This window comes from Homo sapiens, chromosome 13, assembly GCF_000001405.40.
Source record: "Homo sapiens chromosome 13, GRCh38.p14 Primary Assembly".
Taxonomy (NCBI): Eukaryota; Metazoa; Chordata; class Mammalia; order Primates; family Hominidae; genus Homo; species Homo sapiens.
Genome location: NC_000013.11, coordinates 22425023 through 22445884, shown reverse-complemented (window position 1 = coordinate 22445884; position 20862 = coordinate 22425023). Strand labels below are relative to the sequence as shown.

General features: G+C 36.2%; 1 long non-coding RNA gene across 1 annotated transcript in view; it reads right to left on the bottom strand.

The window, feature by feature from the left end:
- LOC107984599 (uncharacterized) overlaps positions 1–17829 on the bottom strand; it is a 29408-nt gene extending 11579 nt beyond the window's left edge. Inside the window, exon 1 of the long non-coding RNA XR_001749779.2 lies at positions 17213–17829. This is a non-coding gene — a long non-coding RNA (uncharacterized LOC107984599). The remainder of the gene's footprint in view (positions 1–17212) is intronic.
- Between the last annotated feature and the right edge of the window lie 3033 nt (positions 17830–20862).

Below are 20862 nucleotides of genomic sequence, written 5' to 3'. Positions count from 1 at the left end.
TTGTAAGTAACCACTTAATAAAGGGGAAAAGGAAAATTAATAAGTAGTTGATTCACACACTTGAAAAAGAGAAAAAGGAATAGCAACATGCAGATAGGTCAAACAGAAAAAATGAAAAGTAAGATGATGCCTATAAACCCAAATATATCAGCAATTGGATTAATCATGAGTAGACCAAATATTACAATTAAAAGTCCAAGATTCTTACAGTGGATAAAATAAACAAAATCTAGCTATATTTGCTTATAGGAGAATCATTGTAATAGATGCACGCAAAAGTTGCAAGTAAAGGAATAGAAAAAGGGTATACTATATAATCACTAACTAAAGGAAAGCTCGTGTCCCAATATAATATCAGGCAAAGTAGAATAATCACGGCTTTGTTAAGGCAAAAAGCAGTAATAGTACATAAACAGAGACAGAGAATGATAGTTTATTATGATAAACAGGAAAGTATAACAATTATGAGCGTCTATGCACCAGTTAATATTTTAAATATATAGAATATAAATAATATAAATAGGCTATAAGTTGTGTAAATAAATCTTACAATAAATAAATATGAGGTAAGGATAGAAGGATAGAGACAGAATTTAACATCTCTCTCTCAATAACTAATAAAAGAAGGCAACCAAAAGACTGGCCAATATTAACAGACTCATTCTAATTGTAATGTACAGAATACTATCAGAATACTACAACTAACAATAATGGAATAAAACTTCATTTCAATAGCATGTGTAAATTTACCAAAACTGATATTAATACATTTTTAAATATTCAAATAAATCAGAGTATATGCTCTTCCCACATTGTAATTAAAATAGAAGTAAATAATGAAATGCTAAATATAATATATCCAACTATTCAGAGAGTAAGGAGGAAGCTTCCAAATAGCTCCTCTGTCAAGGTAGAATTAAAAATGAAAATTAAAAAATATTTTAACTGATGAAATACCTATCAAAATATGGAGTATACAGATAAAGCAAGTACTACTTAGAAGGAATTATATAGAAGGAATATAGAAGAAAAAGAATAAAGATAGAAAATCAATAACCTAAGTTCCCATTTGAAGATTAGGAAAGAGAATGCTGGCCAGGTGCGGTGGTTCACACCTGTAATCCCAGCACTTTGAGAGGCTGAGGTGGGTGGATCACCTGAGGTCAGGAGTTCGAGACCAGCCTGGCCAACATGGTGAAACCTGGTCTCTACTAAAAATATAAAAATTTGCTGGGCATGGTGGCAGGCACCTGTAATCCCAGCTACTCGGGAGGCTGAGGCAGGAGAATCGCTTGAACCCCGGAGGCGGAGGTTGCAGTGAGCCGAGATCGCACCACTGCACTCCAGCCCGGGCAACGGTGCCAGACTCCATCTCAAAAAACAAAAGAGAATGCTAAATCAATTCCAAAGAAAACAAAAGGAAAGGAACCATAGATGTAAGTGAAGAAATCAATCAGTAGAAAACAAACATAATGCGGAAAATCCTCAGAACCAATTGTTTTTTAAAATAAATTATAAAAATAGATAAACCCTAGTGAAAGAAACTTAATTTAAAAAGAGAGAAAGCGTAAATAACATGAGGAATTAAAAACAAGACATCACTACAGATTCCAAAGATATTGTAATGATAAGAGCATTTGAGGGAAAATGGACAAATTTCTTAACAAAACACAACGAATCAAAATGACTGGAAGAATTAAGAAATCTGAAGACTCCTAAATAAGTCAAATTAGTTACTGAAAACCTTCCCCTAAAGAAAACTCCTAAGACATTACGTTAAGTGAAAAAAGCCAGACACAGAAAGATGAATAATACACGATCTCACCTATATATGGAATCTAAAAAAGTTGAATTCATAGAAAGAGAATAGAATGGTGGTTAGTAGGGGCTGGGAGTGGGAGAAATGGGGAGAAGTTGGTCAACAGGTACAAATATTCAGTTATAAGATGATAAGTTCTGAAATTTAATGTACAGCCTTGTGACTATAGTTAACGATAATGTATTGTATACCTGAAATTTGCTTAGAGAATAGATCTCAAGTGTTCTCACCACAAAAATAAACAAAAAAAGGTAACTACATGAGGTGATTGATACGTTAATTAGCTTGATAGTGGTAATCATTTTACAGTGTATCTGTAAATAAAAACATCATGAGGGCAGGGCGTGGTGGCTCACACCTGTAATCCCAGCACTTTAAGGAGGCCGAGACAGGCGGATCACGAGGTCAGGAGATCGAGACCATCCTGGCTAACACAGTGAAACCCTGTCTCTACTAAAAATACAAAAACAAAATTAGCCAGGCGTGGTGGCGGGCGCCTGTAGTCCCAACTACTCGGGAAGCTGAGGCAGGAGAATGGCGTGAACTCGGGAGGCGGAGCGCATTGCAGTGAACCGAGACCGCGCCACTGTACTCCAGCCTGGGCGAAAGAGCGAGGCTCCGTCTCAAAAAAAAAAACAAAAAAACAAAAAAAATCATGTTGTGCAACTTAAATAAATACAGTATTTGTCAATCATGCCTCAAGAAAGCTGAAAAAAAAAAAAAACAACTTCCTGAGACCAAGTTTCACTAATGATTCCTCCAAGTATTAAAAAGTAACAATGCCAATCTTATGAAACTCTTCCAGAAAAGAGAAAAAAAGGAAATACTTATAAATGTGTTTTAGAAGCCTAGTTTAGCTGTGATGTAAAACCTAAAAACGATATATAAGACAAATAAATTATAAACCAACTTCTCTCATGAAACAGAAGTAAAATATCATAAGTGAAATATTAGCAATGTATAAAAGTATAATTCATTGCAACCACAATGAGGTTTACACCAGAAGGTCGAAAGTGTTTGTATGTTCTGGTCACTCAGTGTAATTCACCATATTGTTGGAAAACGAAAAGAAAAATTTTAAGATAATCTCAGCAGTTGAAGAATAATACATTTGATGAAATTCAATAGACAAATATCATGAAAGCTTTTTAACAAACTAGGATTAGAAAGAAATTTCCTTGATTTAATGATGAGTATCTAACATTTTTTTTGCACCAAATACTGAAATATGGAAAGCTTTCTTCAGAACAATGGGAACAAGACAGATTCTCCTGCTAGCACTTCTATTCACCATGTTATAGGAGAGACAGTACAATAAGAATACATTTTTAAAGATTTCTTATAAAAGGAAGAATAAAAAGACATCATTATTCAGAGTTAAGATGATGATGTATACAGAAAATCCTCCCAAAATCTATAGCCAAATATTTAAATTAATAAGTAAATTTGGCAAAATTACTGGATAAATTGCCAGCATATTTTAATAAAAATATTTTTTTACATCTCAAGAACAAATAGAAAGTGAAATTTAAAAATATTATTTACGACAGTATAAAAATAAATACTTAAGAATAAATCAAGCAAGAATAAAGCAAAAGATGTGGAGGACCTCTATAATGAAATGAGAAAACATTATTAAGAGCACTTCTAAATGACCTCAATGTATCTGGAAGGGTACACCATGTTTGTGAATAGGAACGCTCACTATTGTAAATATGTGTATTCTCTCTATATTAATACATAGATTCAGTGCAATTCCAATCTATATCACAGCAGATTTTGTGAAAATTTGCAAACTTAATCATAAAATTTACACGGAAATGCAAAGGCTAAGGATAACCAAGGCAGTTTTGAGGGAGGAAAACAAAACTGAAGGACTTGCATGGTTAAAATAAAAAAAGACAAAGTGACAAGTGCTGGCAAGAATTTAAATAATAGGAACTCACTCTGTTGGTGGGAGTGTAAATTGTAATAGCTTCTTTGCAAAATTGTTTGGCGGTATCTATTAAGTCTGAGTGTATGTATATATATATATTCAGGAATTCAAGTTCTAGGATATGTTTTAGACTACGAATAACTGAAAGGCATACACGTGTTCATCAAAAGATATTTAAAAATTCATAGTGGCACTATCCATAATAGCCTAGACTTGAAATCCCAACGCCCATCAATAGACTATCAGATAGATAAATTGCGATTTATTGATGAAATAAATACTATACAGTTAATGAGTATGAATAAAGTATTGCTACATGCCAAAACATGTCTGGATATAAAAATATAATGTTGAAACAAAAGATCCTAAATATACTATTCTATTCTACCAAGTTATAAGACAGGTAAATTAATACATGGTGTTATAAACCATGATAGTGGTTATTTTCAGGAGTAGATAGAGGAATGGAGCATGAGGAGGGCTTCTTGTGTGCAACTAATGTCTATTTTATGTTTTGATCTGACCACTGGTAGATAATCATTTATTTTCTAAAGCTTAATCTAGCTCTACACATCCTCAATAAAAATGTTATTTAAAAAATTATACATGGTAAATGGGATAGAAAAATCTGTCCTGCAGTAAAATGGACTATTTTGAATTAAAACACTGTGAAAAACATAAGTATCAAGAATGAATGCAATTAAAAGCATCGCTCTCGTTGACCAAGTCCAACTCCATCCAGCCCTAATAAATGTTTCAGTAGCAGAGGTTGACCATAATAAGTACTTTTGCAGGCCCAAAGCCAACCCCAGATAAGCCTCAGTAGGACTTTGTCCAAATTCTTAATTCAAAAATGCAGTATTCATTTTAAAAGCTAATTTTAGTCATCCTGTTAAATCTTTGTTACACTGGGCTGCTCTATTCACTTTTCTCAGTGTTTACTAATCCTTGAAGATAATTGAAAGCAATTTTATAGAAGCATGAAATGAGTTTTCATGGATTTTAATCTACATGAAGTGGCCTTCAAAATTATATTTGATCCTGAGTAGATTATCTGTTTATGTTTTTTTTCACTCTCTCCTATTACCTTACCTTTGCCGAGTCTCATGTTGTTCACAAGAAGAATTTTATTAAGTAATTGTTAAACAACATAAGTGAGAACATACAATTTTTTGTCACCAACTTATTAACTAAAAAGTATGTTATAATGCTTATCCTGAAAAACTACTTCTATTTCTTGATAGACTAACATATGCCACTAATTTGTATAGCACCTGTTATTTTGATTATATAAAAAAAGGATGAATATATTCTTCATGCCAATATTCATATAATACAGAAACATATATATATATATATACACACATGACCATAGATACATGTGATACACATACACATGTAATAACGGCCCCCCCCTCAAATCTAATTTCACTTTCCTCTCCTTGTGTCTTTCTTTGGGCTGAATGACTACACTGTATCATTGCTGAAATGACTGTCTTTAAAAACTTGCAGAATCCTTAAAGCCAGAGTGGTATTTGACATACCAATTTCTATTTCTTATATGAAAAATAAATCTTCTATTTAAAAAAGTCCTATTTTCCACAGGCCTCAAAGTGGCGGTAGTAATAAGGAACATTTATTGTTTCTCCATAAGGACAATTTACTAAGCACTTTCAAAAGCCATCTCGCTTTATCCTCCTAACATCCTGTGTTTTAGGTATGTACTATGTCCAATATGGAAATACCTCCCTGGAGTAGGGAGTAAATACCTAGAATCACAATTATTACGTTGCACATCTGATGCCCGGTAGGGTGGTTCACACTTGTAATCCCAGAACTTTGGGAGGCCAAGGCGGGTGGATTGCTTGAGCTCAGGAGTTTGAGACCAGCCTGGGCAACACAAGAAAACCCCATCTCTACTAAAAATACAAAAACTTAGCTGGGTGTGGTGGCATGCGCCTGTAGTCCCAGCTACTTGGGAGGCTGAGGTGAGAGGATCACTGGAGCTTAGGAGGTCGAGGCTGCAGTGAGACGAGATGACACCACTGCACTCCAGTCTGGGGTCTCAAAAAAAAAATCTGAATTTTGAGTTCATGAAATCTGACTCCAAAATCTCAATTAATCCATGGAACCATTAACTAGTTCTTATCTGAGCCTTAACGAATCTCTCATTGGAACATAATACTGAGAGGGTATTAGGTGATCATATGGTACCTGTGAAGCACTGGGGACCATCAGCTATCTCAAAGTCACAAAGGTACCAGCATATTTCCCAATATGTTTACCAAGCAGTTGATTGCAGTTTAGAAAAAGTTGTCTAAAGAAGCGATGACTTACATTTCATTATGATTAAGTTAACAAAATAAACTGTGAGAGCCTGAGTATATCTGGCTTTAGCCTCTGTGGTAATTATGGATAGCATTCCCAGTTATCACACATTATCTTCATTTTCCTCGCACTACTCCAACTATCCATACTTAGAACACTGTTTAAAATGAGGGATAACAACATGACTTGCTTTGGCTAATGAGATGTGAGCAATGCAATGTGTACAGCTGCTGAGCATCTCTTGGGGCTCCGTTTACCACGATAAAATCCGGAGTTTCCTGCAATGACTCCAGCATCGCGGGGTGACAGGACCTCCTCCACCTGAGGGACCACGTGTGCAGCTGAGTTGGTCCCAGCCCCTGCCAGGCCAGCTTGGCTACAAGTGGTGAACTAGAAATAAAACATGAGCAGCCAAATATTTTACCCCCAAAATCTATTTCTTTGATATATTTTGAAATGCCCCTGCAAAGTTGTCTCTTATGGGGAAAATCTGCATTCTGTAGGGAATCTCCTTCCCTTACCAGGTCTTTTCCTGAGAGTCTGACACCTTTTAAGGTCCAATAAGTGACATTTACCATCTATTCTCTCTGAACTTTGGCTTCCACAACCCCCTTTTATCTTAACCACAGCATTTCTGTCTTCGCCTGTAACTTTTGCTCCCTTAAAATGTATAAAACAAAGCTACAGACCAACTACCTTTGGTTCTCAGAACCTCCTAAGCCTCCTGAGGCCTGTGTCACAGACCACGGTCCTCAGATTTGGCTCAAAACAAAACTCTTCAAGTATTTTAATTAAAAAATAATAAATAAAATGAATGAATCTTGCTTTCATAGAGTTGGTATATGTTATATCTTATTTACTCACAATTTTATGTTAGGTGTTACCCATAATCTTCTTTAATAGTGATGGCTGAGGCCGAGCGTGGTGGCTCACGCCTGTAATCCCAGCACTTTGAGAGACCAAGGCGGTCAGATCACCTGAGGTTGGGAGTTCGAGACCAGCCTGACCAACATGGAGAAACCCAGTCTCTACTAAAAATACAAATAATTCGCTGGGCGTGGTGGCACATGCCTGTAATCCCAGCTACTAGGGAGGCTGAGCCAGGAGAATCACTTGAACCCAGGAGGCAGAGGTTGCAGTGAGCCAAGATCACGCCATTGCACTCCAGCCTGGGGAACAAGAGTGAAACTCCATCTCAAAAAAAAAAAAAAAAAAAAGTAGTAATGGCTGGAAACATAGACAGCACTTACTATACACCAGGCCAGAGTCTAGTCCTCTTAACAACTCTAAGGAAGTAGGTGGTATTATTTTTTTTCCATTTTGCCAATGAGAAAACATGTTCTAGATCATACAGCTAACAAACAGTACAGGTAGGTAGGACTTGAACACAGGCTCTCTGCTCACACAGACATGTGAGAATGTCTTGAGGAAAAATGTGCCTCAGATAAATTAAAAGAATACACAGCTATACAGGGACTGTAGAAAGGCTTGACTGGAGGATCTGACTTCAGGTTCTCTGAGGTTTTGTGAAACTCCCCTATAAAAGGTATTTCCTTAGGTGTTGGTAAACACCTAAAGAAATAAATTTAGAGGAAGTTAATTATTGCAGAAATATTATTATTGCAAGTAATATTATTGCAGAAATAAATTTAGAGGAAGTTAATTATTGCAGAAATATTATTATTGCAAGTAATATTATTGCAGAAATAAATTTAGAGGAAGTTAATTATTGCAGAAATATTATTATTGCAAGTAATATTATTGCAGAAATAAATTTAGAGGAAGTTAATTATTTCTCCCCTTGCCTTCTCTCTCACTCTCTTTCTCCCTTTCCCTCTCTACTCTCTCTATTTTTGTTTTTTGGTCAGGAATTAATCTTCAAACCTGAGATTTTAATTTTCCTTTTGTTTGAACTTCCTAATAAATACTAACAATAAAAAATGTTACTAGCAAAATGACATACCTAATGATATGATGATGCAATGGGTAACTTTTGGAAGACATACTTAACCCTCTCTAATTTGTTACCTGGTTCTAGAAACAACTAAAACTCTGCAAAAGTCTCAGTTAATATCACTTCTTCCTATGCAGCAAAAAATCAGAAGAGTTAAAATTATTAGTTGTAGTTTGTTTGTTTGTTTTTACTTTTCTCTCAATATATATAGAATTATATAGCTGAAAAAAAAACCCAGTCTTTTCTTGATAGATAGTATAACATCTAAATCAATCTAGATTGTTTTCCAGCCTTTTAAAAATACATAACCCACATAAAAACCAACTCAACAATTTATTTATTTTCTTTCTCCACTATTTCCAACATGAATTTCTTCACATAGAAGACTTCTAGGTTTCTACTTCCTGCATTTGCTCAGAAGTTATTTTTGCCCACAATGTTACCTTTGTCATTTCCTTTCTGTCTGCAAAAATTCTCCTGTTCTTAGTGTCCAGTGTGACTTCTGGCTCTCCTTAAACTATTTTGTCTCCATTAGTTTAGTTCATATGATCAGTTCTGTCTTGTTATTCCCAGTAACAGTAGGGGCTGCTTTATATATTTAACAGCTTTTATGTTTGCTTTCCATGCTCAGATTATCTTCTGATGTGTTTTCCTTCATAAGGTGTAAGCTCCTTAAAGAAATGACTTGTTCATGCCTGTAATCCCAGAACTTCGGAGGCCGAGGCGGGCGGATCATGAGGTCAGGAGATCGAGACCATCCTGCCTAACACAGTGAAACCCCGTCTCTACTAAAAATACAAAAAAAAAAATAGCCGGGCGTGGTGGCAGGCGCCTGTAGTCCCAGCTACTCGGGAGGCTGAGGCAGGAGAATGGCATGAACCTGGGAGGTGGAGGTTGCAGTGAGCTGAGATCGCGCCACTGCACTCCAGCCTGGGCGACAGAGTGAGACTCCGTCTCAAAAAAAAAAAAAAAAAAATGACTTGTGCTTTCATATATAAGAAAGAATCTACTGCAGGACTGTGAATGCAATGTGTAAATGAATGCTTTTTGAGTCAACTGTACACAGTGATATCTTATAATCAAAAGTTGCTTCTAAGTGATTGTTGTATACCATAAAATATTACAGCGTTGATTCAAGCAAACAACTGACCCTTTGTTAACCATTGATGATATCACCAATGCTTCTTTTATGGCTTTTTTAATATGAAAATCCTGAGATGCAGGACATGCTTTATCTTTTCTCCTACCAGTACATCAAAAGTTCCCCTGTTCCTTTCTCAACATGGATCCCATCTACCCTCTGAAGGGGCCACCATCCCTACTTTTTTAATGATTAGTTTTTTCTCTTGCCATTTTGTAACCTATATTTCCATTTTGAAACATGTTCGGTATGATTTCAATCTTTTTTTTTAATTATACTTTAAGTTTTAGGGTACATGTGCACAACATGCAGGTTTGCTACATATGTATACATGTGCCATGTTGGTGTGCTGTACCCATTAAATGACGATTTCAGCCTTATAAAATTTGTGGAAGCTCGATTTATATATTCAGTTTTGAAAAAATGTTCCATGTTCATTTAAAAGAATATTTTTTTCTGTAGTAGTTGCGCACCATATCATTTACATGCCATTTATACATACTCAACCAAGTTTGTGAATCACAGTTTTTCTCTAAAGTTTCTGTCAATTACTCAGGGGGACAGGTTAAAAATCTTTTGCCATCATTATGATCATGGGTTTATCTTTGTTTCTTCTTTCAGTGGTTCTCTTTCTCTCTCCCTCTCTCTCTCTCTCTCTCTCTCTCTCTCTCTCTCTTCCCTTTCCCCCCTCTGTCTCTCTCTTCTTTCTCTCTTGGCCAAACCCGTTAATGGTAATTTTTCTTTGAAGACTCTATCAATTACCCAAATAGATTAGTTAAAAATCTGCCACTATAATCATGATTGTGAATAAAAGGGAAAAAACAATTTTGAAATACAGAGCATGTACCACAAATTATGTAACTTGTGGAGCAGGGTCAGAGCAGCATCCTGTGTTGAAACACATTAATATTCTACAGCAAAGCCACCACTATTCATATGAAATGAAATAAATAAAGACTATAAATGACATTACATAATTTCAGCTCGGGTTTTGGCAGCAAATTTGCAAGTCTTTCAATTTTCAGAGCTTTGTGAATTTCATCATTGTAGAAGAGAGATTTTATATGTGTATTCTGAGGGAATGTGACATGCAGTATAAATGATGTTATCTTTCAGCAAGTGGGCATACAGTTCTGTTCTTCATCTCAAGGAATGTCTTTCCCTCTGAAGTCTAATTTTCTAATATCAATGTAGCTTATATCAATGTATATTGTCATTGCAGCAGCAAATCAATGTATATGTGATAGTCTACTCATATAAGGACTATTGATAGTCTATAAAACTGTAGTTGGTATTTATGTGGTGTATCTTTTATACATATTTTAGATATGTCTTCTATAACAGTATATAACTAAATTTTTAAAAGTCTAGTCTGGAAATATTTGCATTATAGTACTCTGTTCCTTTATATTTAATGTAATTGCCATATTGCATTTAATAAAATGTTTAAATATATTATTATGTCTTGTATTTTTGTATCAACTTCCTATTTTTTATGCTTTCTCTCTATTCTTAACTTTTTTGATTAATTTGTATCCTTTTGTGCTTTCTCTTTCTTAATTTGGAAGTTATTTCCTTTCCTATTACTTGTTAACCTTAGCAATATACTGACTTGTCAAAATCTAAAATTAATTAATACTTTTAATCTCCAACTAGATAACAACAAGAACCTTAAAACAATATACCTCCATGCATCCCCCCGGTTTATATGTTATTTTGGCTGTCATAGTTTCTATCTCTTCTAAAACAATTTGGGATATGATGATTTTTGCAGTTTTATAGTCAGTTATTGTTCAGATTCCCCCATGTGCTTACTACTCTTTCTGTTTATTCTCTTCGGCATTTTGCATCTTTAGTCTTTTTATTTCTAAAAGTTCCATTTGGCTCCTTTTCAAATCTGTTACATTGCTTTATACAGCTTTCTGTTTCCTTGAAGTTTCTTTAAACCCTTAAAGCCTAGCGCTCTTTAAAATATAGAAGTATAGTTGATTTACAATCTGCCTAATAATTTTAACATATAAAGTCTTTGTTCTATTTTTTTCAAAAAAAATTTCTCTTATATTGCCTTGTATTCTTGCGTGTTTATTGTTGACTCTTCTGCATATTTTTCCAGGAAATCTGTGGAATTTATTTAAGACCTTGAACAAAGGTACACTCCTACAGATGAGTTTTACTTTTGATTTTAAAAGGCATTTAGAAAATGCCTAAAATGTCTTAAAATTGAAGTTAAGGTTGAGTATACTTGGACTCTCCAGGCATGTGAAAGGGCAGCCTGGGTTACAAGTCCTGCAGAGTGTTCTTTAACTCTGGCAGCAAGGCAGCCTCTGGGCAGCCTCCGAGGCGTGGGCACTTGGGGTGCATTTACTTTGAGTTCCCATTTTCCCTGAAGCTCTGGCTTTGGGGAAATCCTTCCTTCAGAGGAGCCACTTTTCCTATTTAGATTGAACATGATGGTAGGCTCTTGGTTTAGACTCATTCCCTTTGCCCCAAGAGACCTTCAAAACAAAAACGTAGGCTCAGCTATATTAGCAAATGCTCTCGGGTTAAGGCTGTTTAAGCACTCAGCTTGTTTCTTTGGGGCTTTGCATTCACTTAAATTACGAACCTCATAGTTTTTAACAAATCCATCGGCTCCTCAGTATCTTAAAAATATATTTTTAAAATTGCATATACATTTTAAGTATGACTCCTCATGACTTTTACAACCATATATTTAATGCGAATATGTATTCATTTATTAACAAATTTGTATAAGCACTTACTGGTATGGGACAGATATGCTTAAACTTACTAATAAGAGAAAAAAAACAATGTTTGTGAAAATACTGGGGGTGTCATTTTGCTATTCCATAGAGGTATTTTTTGGTAGGTCAATCTGTTATGGGGAAATCTAATGCCAAGGAAATGGTTTGTTCCATATCTTTCCAGAGCACGATCGTGTGTCTTCAAGACTTCACATGTTCCATGATCAATCTATTACCACATTAAAAATACTCCAACACTTTCATCCTGGTGAATTAGTCAATAAGGGTTCCTTTCTTTTAGTATTCAGAACTCCCCTCCTCTTTGCAAGAGATCTACAAAGCTTGCCCAGGAGCCATGCTGACCTTTGCTGTTGGTCAAGGTCCTCCAGGGCGTACTGCATTCTCAGGGCTTTGTCTCTCTTGAGTCAATGAGGCCCCTAAAACGTGGGTTTAAGAAGGCACAGAGCCACTGTCACAAAAAAATGAGGCCAGACTGCAACAGTTCTCGAAAGATCTTCTGAAAACCTGGGAATACTGTGTGAAAAGCACAATTCAGAGAAGAAGAAAAAATTCTTTTTCAGGTGTCACTTTTTCCAAAATCCAATAAAAGACCAATTCCCAGGTAATTCCCCCATAGGCTACTCCCTCATTAGGTCAGAAGTGTTGGGACTATTCTTCTTCTAACCTGAGTCCTCTCTCTCATTTCTCCCCAGAGTCTCATAGCCTCAACTTCCTTCTACTGGCCCCATTATATATATATACATAAAATAAATTATATAACATTATCATAATTTATCTGGAGCCAGTGCTTTACTGACCTTCAAAATAGCCTTTTATAATATTATTTTTTTAAAAAAGCAGTATAGCCATTGTTGAAAAACTTTAGACAAATTAAATTAAACAAAGCTTACTTGAGCAAAGAATAAGTCATGAACCAGGTAGCACTCAGAGCCAGAAGAGGTTCAGAGAACTCCCATCTGCAACAGTGATCTATTTACATTCAGAGTATTTACAGACAGAGTAAGGAAGTAAAGTACAAAAATAACTTGAGTGGTTACAGCCATGCATTTGCCTTATTTGGAAATGGTCTGATTAGTTGGCTGCCTGTGATTGGCTGAAGCTTGGCTGCTCATGATTGGCCAAGACTTGGCTGTTTGTTATACTCCTGAGTTAGGTTGTTAGTTTGTGTATCTACTAAGTTAGGTTGTAGTTTGTAATGTAGGCACTCAAAGTGCAAAGACAGCCTCAGGCCAATGGCCTCCTGCTTGTGTAATTTACCATTATTTTGTCTCAGCCTCTCCCTTCATGAGTAGACTTAGTGCCTTAATTTTACACAAAGAAGGGCCCTCCAAACTGCCCCCACTGCACCAAATAAAAAGACAAGTCTTCGCAAAAAGGTCAGTTATTGCCATCCCACAAAGCACAAACTATACAATCTATTGGCAACACTGCCCATCCAGTGTGGCCCTGACTTTGGTTACTTACATTTCTGTACATTAGAGAAATATCTAACCCACTGCCAAAGCGTTATGCACCAGTTCACTTCCTTTGCCCTGGCCCTCACTATTCCTCTGCTTTTATGTTTTGTTATGTCACTTATTGTTATCTGGTGTCCTTATTTATCAAAGGCCTCTCCCCACTAGCTTGTAAATGCTTCTATGATGGGGTGTTACAGAGAGAATTGTGTTCCCTGCAGAAATTCGTATGTTGAAGTCCTATTCCTCAGTATCTCAGAATGGAACTGCTCAATATAGACACACACGGAGGGAAGATGATGTGAAGACTCAGGGAGAAGATGGCCATCTACTAGCCAAGGAAACAGGCCTGGAACAGTCCTTTCCTTTCAATCTTCAGAAAGAACCAAGAGGCTGACATCCTGATCTCAGACTTGAGAACTGGGAGGTAATACATTTCTCTCTTTTAAGCCACCCAGTCATTGGCACTTTTTTATGGTAGCCTTAGCAAATTAATACACAGGAGATTTTTGTTTTATTTGTTTCAGCATCCTCATGGTTTGGAAAAAAAGAAATAAAGGGAAAAAATAAAATAAGTAAAAAGAAAATAATAAAGATGTGGTAAAATCAATGAAATTTAATGATTAAATACCAATAAATGTTTATTATAACAGCTAAAACAAGTCAAGTTTATGGCAAGATTGATGAAGAATAAAAAAGAGAATAAGAAATCAGACAGGCTATGAATTATTGGATGATAACAGAGTTCTACTAACTAAACACAATGAATATAAAACACCCTGTAAACTATCCCCTTTGGAGTGTTCGTTGCTGACTGCTATTTAAATTCGTATAGACTTAATGACACAGGAAAATTTGCAAGACTTTAAAATTTCAAACCCTAAATGCAAACATTTATGCAAAAGATTAAAGAATACATCCCCTAAGTTTTTTTCTTGCAGAGTAACATTTTGAATAATTTCTTCAAGTTTTCTGCAATAAGCATGAATTTATCTTATGATGAGGAAAAACTCATAAAATGTACTTTTAAAAATAAACACAGAAAATGCATAGAAAGAGATTCTGCAAAATCAGAGTGCAGAAGTAGATTAGAACATCCTTCCTACAAAATATTTATGAGGTCATGTGGTAGGTAAATAATTTTTTGAATTAAAAAAATTTGGACATTGACGAATCATTATCACAAAAGCAAATGCAAGACTTAGAATGTCTATGAAGTACTGAACACAGAGGTAGCAGTGTATTGTACTTTTTGACTTATCTGGAAATTATTTTTCAGAAATTCAGTATTGAAGAGTAGTTAATAACATTTAACATGTGAGAACATTTACTATTTCTAACCAAAATTATTCTATTTCTGTAAAAAAAAGTTACATATTTTAGTCAACTCCTTGGAAATTAGCTTTTCTGTAATATCATCTATTGAGCTAATAAGAAAAGAGAGAAATATTCCACTGAAATTACCCCCAAAAAAGTCTGGTGACTATATACTCAGTGAGAGAGAAGGGTATCACAAAAAACTATATTTTATTTCCAAATATCTGAAAAAATGCCTGGCAGTCTTCAACATCATTTAAATACAAAATGGCTTGGTTGTCGTATATTGTGAATAAATATAAGTACTGAAAGAAAAATTTATGATGGGAAACTGCAATGGTAAATGCATCAAATAGATCTGAAAGACCCAATGAGTAAATGAAACTTAGAAGGGAAGAAGTATTTGCTCAACTGACATTAAAACACCTTCCATATGAGAATAACAATTTTCTCCAAATGCTTTCCAAATGAGATTTTGTCACCACTCTTAAGTTTGGCTGAAGAAATCAAAGTCATGAGGTCACATGAGATCAAACGAAATGAAAAGTTTAATTAATCATTTTATGAATTAAATCAATGAAGAAAACCAAACTGGAAGATAAATTGTCTTTTGTTTTTGCCAGTAGCAGGTTCTTAAGAGCCTGAATAATTCAGGTGATAGCCTGACATGTTTTATTAATTAATTTTTTACCTTTTTATTATATGATATATCAATCATTGTTAGATATCATCACAAGTTTCCCTCTTCTCTCACATTCTCCTGTCCTTTCTATTTTTTGAAAGCACTAAACACTGACATGTTATGTATCTGAGTATTTTACTATCTTCCCCCACTACAATATGAGTTCTATGTGAGAATAAAAGCTAGAATATAGAAGTATGTGTAATTATTGGAAAAACGTTCTCAATTAAAGATGTGTTTTAGGACTTCATGTGTTTAAAGTTAGTGCCTAAATCCAACAGAGTAGAGGAATTTTATAACTGATTAGAAGTACTATGGAATCCCCACATTTGATAAGTGCCATTAAAAAGGCAAAGATATTAGTTTTTAAAAAAACCTCATTAAAAAGCGGGCAAAGGACATGGAGACACTTCTCAAAAGAAGACATTTATGCGGCCAACAAACATGAACAAAAGCTCAACATCACCAATCATTAGAGAAATGCAAATCAAAACCACAATGAGATACCACCTCATGCCAGTCAGAATAGCTATTATTAAAAAGTCAAGAAACAATAGATGCTGGCAAGGCTGTGGAGAAACAGGAATGCTTTCACACTGCTGGTGGGAATGTAAATTTGTTCAACCATTGTGGAAGACAGTGTGGTGATTCCTCAAAGACCTAGAGCCAGAAATGCCATTTGACCCAGCAATCCCATTACTGGGCACATACCCAAGGGAATAGAAATCATTCTATTATAAAGACATGTGTGTTTGTTACAGCACTATTCACAATAGCAAAGACATGGAATCAACCCAAATGCCCATCAATGATAGACTGAATAAAGAAAATGTGGTACATATACACCATGGAATACTATGCAGCCATAAAAAGGAAGAAGATTATGTCCTTTGCAGGGATACGGATGGAGCTGGAAGCCATTATCCTCAGCAAACTAATATGGCAACAGAAAACCAAATACCGTATGCTCTCGCTTATAAGTGGGAGCTGAACAATGAGAACGTATGGATACAGGGAGGGGAACAACACACACTGGGGGCTGGTGGGGGTATTGGGGGTGGGGGGAGGAACAGCATCAGGATAAATAGCCAATGCATGCTGGGCTTAATACCTAGGTGACTTGTTGACAGGTGCAGCAAAAAACTCTGGCACACGTTTACCTATGTAACAAACCTGCACATCCTGAACATGTATCCGAGAACTTAAAGTAAAATACCATATATTTCAATATTTAAAATTTCATGTTGTCCTAACAACGACAACAAAAATCTCTAGATGATACTGTTAACTGTGTTGCTTATTTAACCTAACCAAAAATTAAGTTTTGAAATGGGAATAATATAAATTGACATTTTTACTTGCAATAGCAAGAGTTTTTTGAGGGCTCATCTCCTAAGTCTGTAATGCAGGTACCTGCAGATCCCAGGATAGGAGCCCACTGAGAACCTAGAATGAATTTTTTAAAGCACATAACAATAATACCCTTTGGAAAATATTTAGACTGACACCTCTGGTCTCAGCATTGCAAAAGACTTTTCTTTCCCTGGAAGCAACATCCTTTTATTTGCATGATTCTTTTGAGAGACTTTCTTGCTTTAATTGACTAATTAAGTTAAAGGCCACAGTATAGTGCTAGAAGTATTTTCCTCTAAAAGGAGCACTTTGGCCTTTAAGTGTTTCAAAGAATGGCCTCCTTCACCACAAGTGCCATAGGGCTTGGCACCTCTGTCCACATGCATACCGTTTCTTTGAGTCTAAAAGGGAAGAGGGAGATAGAAAGAAAAAATCTGCCAGTCTTTCCTGCCTCCCAACTTACTCATTTCCAACGAATGCCTTAGTGACTGGCTGCTAAGTGGGCGAATCCCAGCAAACCACATTCTGCTATGTGTGGAAACAGTTCAAAAGTTTCAGTCGTTCGGTCCAACCAGTGGATGGTCTTTTCCTGTAAACGTGGCCCAAAGACGTTTATATGAAGTTGTAGGTGGACTTGACCTTAGTCAGGCTTAGAGGAAAAGGCAGTCTTCCAAGAATTCTAGAACTCAGTGCTTCACATCCAGTTAGAAAGAACCCATAAACAGCTGTACAGAGGCCATGTGGTCCTCTCCCAGCTGAAAACCCTTAAAAACAGCAAACTAAGTAAATGGCTGTGGTATTTATTTATGCTGTTTATCACTCTGGTAGAATGTGGACTAGGATAGTAGCCTGGGAGATTATCTTGTGGCGATGATGCAATTATAGCCCAGTGCTGCACAGCTGATAAGGTGACCTACAACGTCCTCCCCGAGATGAGGGGTTTTGAGATTGCAGAAGCCAGTCTGTTCTGAACGCTGGTGCCTACTGTAACGGGAAAGACCCCTCACCCACTATCGCCAATGCACGGCAATTCTCTGATGGTGCCTTTTCTTGCTTAAAACTACTGTTTTAATGTTTTGATGGGTGTGACCTTTGTAGACAGTAAGTAAAGTCTTTCTCGTGCTGTGACTGGTACTTGTTCAGGAAAGTTGCAGAGGCCACAGGACAGAAGCTGAAGCCAGGAGTTCATGGCCAAAGCATCCATGAGCTCTCTGGCTATGGCTGGCATATCGCTGAACACCAATTTTTGCTCTACTTGACCCTTTTGGAAAATCAAACTCACAATCACTTTCTTCCAGGAAGGATTGAACAGAAACTTATTTTTAAATCTTTGATGGTAAAACTAAGCAATAAAAGATTTCTCCGAGCAATTATTGCAAATGCTTGACTATATTTCTCATTGTTTCCTGATTCTTTCCCTACCATCAATGACAAATTATGACATCTCCACTCATACCTCTCTCTTTTCCATTTTCATTGCCATCATCCTTACTCAGAGCCTCACTATCTATTCCCTAAAATCACTGCAGTAGTTTAGTCAATTTTCCTTTCAATTTATGCTAAACACCACAGCAAGATTAATTTTTCTAAAGTATACTATTGATCTAAAAAAAAAACAAACCACCAACTGATAGATGTCTGCTGCCTATCAAATTGAGTGAGATGCCTTAGTTGTGTACTAAACACTTCAATGTGTCAACCCTTTGAGCCCCAACTTTTTAAATATCCATTATCCTTTCTCCCATATATCAGTCTTAACTCCAGTTTTGGGGAGATGCCTGTGCTTTGGGTTCAGCTTAGATTAGATCATCAGGTTTTAGAAAACAGCTGAAGACTTTGAGCAAGAGAATGATGTGGTCATAGAAATGTTTCGGGTGGGTCTGGGTTATGGCTTTGGAGGGTGACTGAGCAGGGTAAAAGCCACTGCCTGTGTCTGGGCAGGCAAGGATGAGGGCTTACACCAGACAGCTGAAGGAGGCATGCAGAAGGCGGCGATGAGCTCAGGCACCAAAAGAAAGGATTTCTAGAAAGGACAATATTTGATAAGGTGGAATGAATTAAAAATAAGAGAAAAAGACAACTTCCAGATTCCACATTCAATTTGAGCTATCTTTTAAGACTGTTTCTGTAACAGGCCTTATAAGTGAAGCATGAGGTGGTAAGTCAATGACCTTCAGTTTAAAATGGCATATGTATTATTTCATTTCAAACACCACTCAGATTAACATGACTCGTTTTTCCACTAATTCCCTACTCCCAGCATTTATCATCTTTTTAACCACAGGCCTATCAAATAATCGGATTGTCTTCCTCAGAATATTTTTAGTACCTCTGTCAGTATATGGCAAATCATCAACATGGTGAGTTTGCAGTTAACCATTATTTTAATTGCTATGTACTTTCTGACTGTGGAGCACAGACGAAAATATATTCACTGTGAGGTCATTTAAAGCAATATTTTAACACACAATTCCTTTAAACAGACACAGAATGATCTGCGATATCTGCAGGAACACTAAACATGGTATAGCTATGCTATGCTACATGATTAGTAGCACTGGCTGTACCCGTGCTCAACAAACGTTTGTTGACGTTTTCTTCAAATTCTAAGATATTCTTCAATGTTGTCAAGTTGAAAATACAATGGTACTATTAGAGAAAAACAGGTGCAATAGTTACCGCTACCACCCCAGAAAGGGAAATTGATATAGCACTTTCTAACTTGTTTGGACCATTGCTTTATTTATAAAAATATGTGTGGGCAGTTTGTTGTTAAATTCTTTGAAACCTTTATTTAGAAAAAAAAATGACATAAAAGCTTTTTTGCTTGTTGGGAAACAGAAGGGTTAGGAAAATGTTAGGCTGTGACTTGCTCCTTGAGTGAACGTGGTTCTCATTAACTCACAGGAATCAGAAAGTAAAGAACACCAGAGGCTAGGAACTCTACAGTGAAAATGCTGAATATCTGATGAAATGTGTCTTACAAATAAAATCTCAGACTCTTTTCAGAGCTCTTAATACACTCTCAAGGGTGAAATGTGTTTGTTTTTAGCAAAGTAGATTAGCTTACATCTTGTGATGGGAAAAGTCTGTGTAATGCTCGTGTCCTTTAGCTCTCATTTCGGAGCAGTTCGTTCGGGTTGTATCTTTTGGCCATAGTTGTGGATCTCAATTTTCTACCCTGTCTGGGTGTTAAATCGTTTTCTGTCTGCTGTCAAGCTGTCTCTTTTAGTTCCCATACCCTCCTCCTCTTTTTGTAAGGTACTTACTTATTTCTAAGGTCAGGTGGAATTCAACTTTAGTTTTCTTTCTTTATCATGCACTTCAAAATCTAGCATTGCTTCATATATCTGACTGCCAAATATGGCCAGTTTTAACCAGAATATAAATTACTGGACTCTAAACATTTGTACAAATTTTGTACAAACCACATGTTCAGTGGGACTGGCTCTTTTAGAGCCCAAAGAAGGTGGAATAGGCATTTGAGCAACAGACAGGTTTTGAACAATAACTATTCCCAGTAGTTGAATGATGTGGAGAACAAGCCAACATGAACCACCACCATTGTCTGTACCATCTTTTACGATACTTCTATGCTTTCAAAAACCCGGAGTGAGGTACCATTCCCAAGCCAGCAGGCCACCTCCATCAACCCTCCTGGATTGATTCCCCCACTAAGCCGGGGCGACCAGGCCTTCTTTTATTCTTTCTCATGGCAAATAGTCCAACAGATGTTTCCTAGAGGGCTGTAGTGGCAGGGAGATTGATTTCTTGGCTTTCTGGGGTGTTAATATAGTATCTTGAAAATTATGTCATGTGGATTACAGTCCTTACTCTTGTCTAAAAGAAACTTTACACGTGTTTGGAAGAGGATACATGTCTATATGGAATTACTTTGGCAATGGCCTTTATTTCGGCTTCCAAATCAAGGAGGGCAACTTCAAATACCAAAAGACAGCTTCAGCATGATTCAGAACCCAAGTGCAAGATCTCCATCACAAAGCAATGTTATGCAGCTCATCACAGATATGTACTATAATGAATTCTGGCAGGCACACTATTATTGTCTCCTGATGAAAAGTATGACAGTTTATCAAGACTATTTTGAATTCT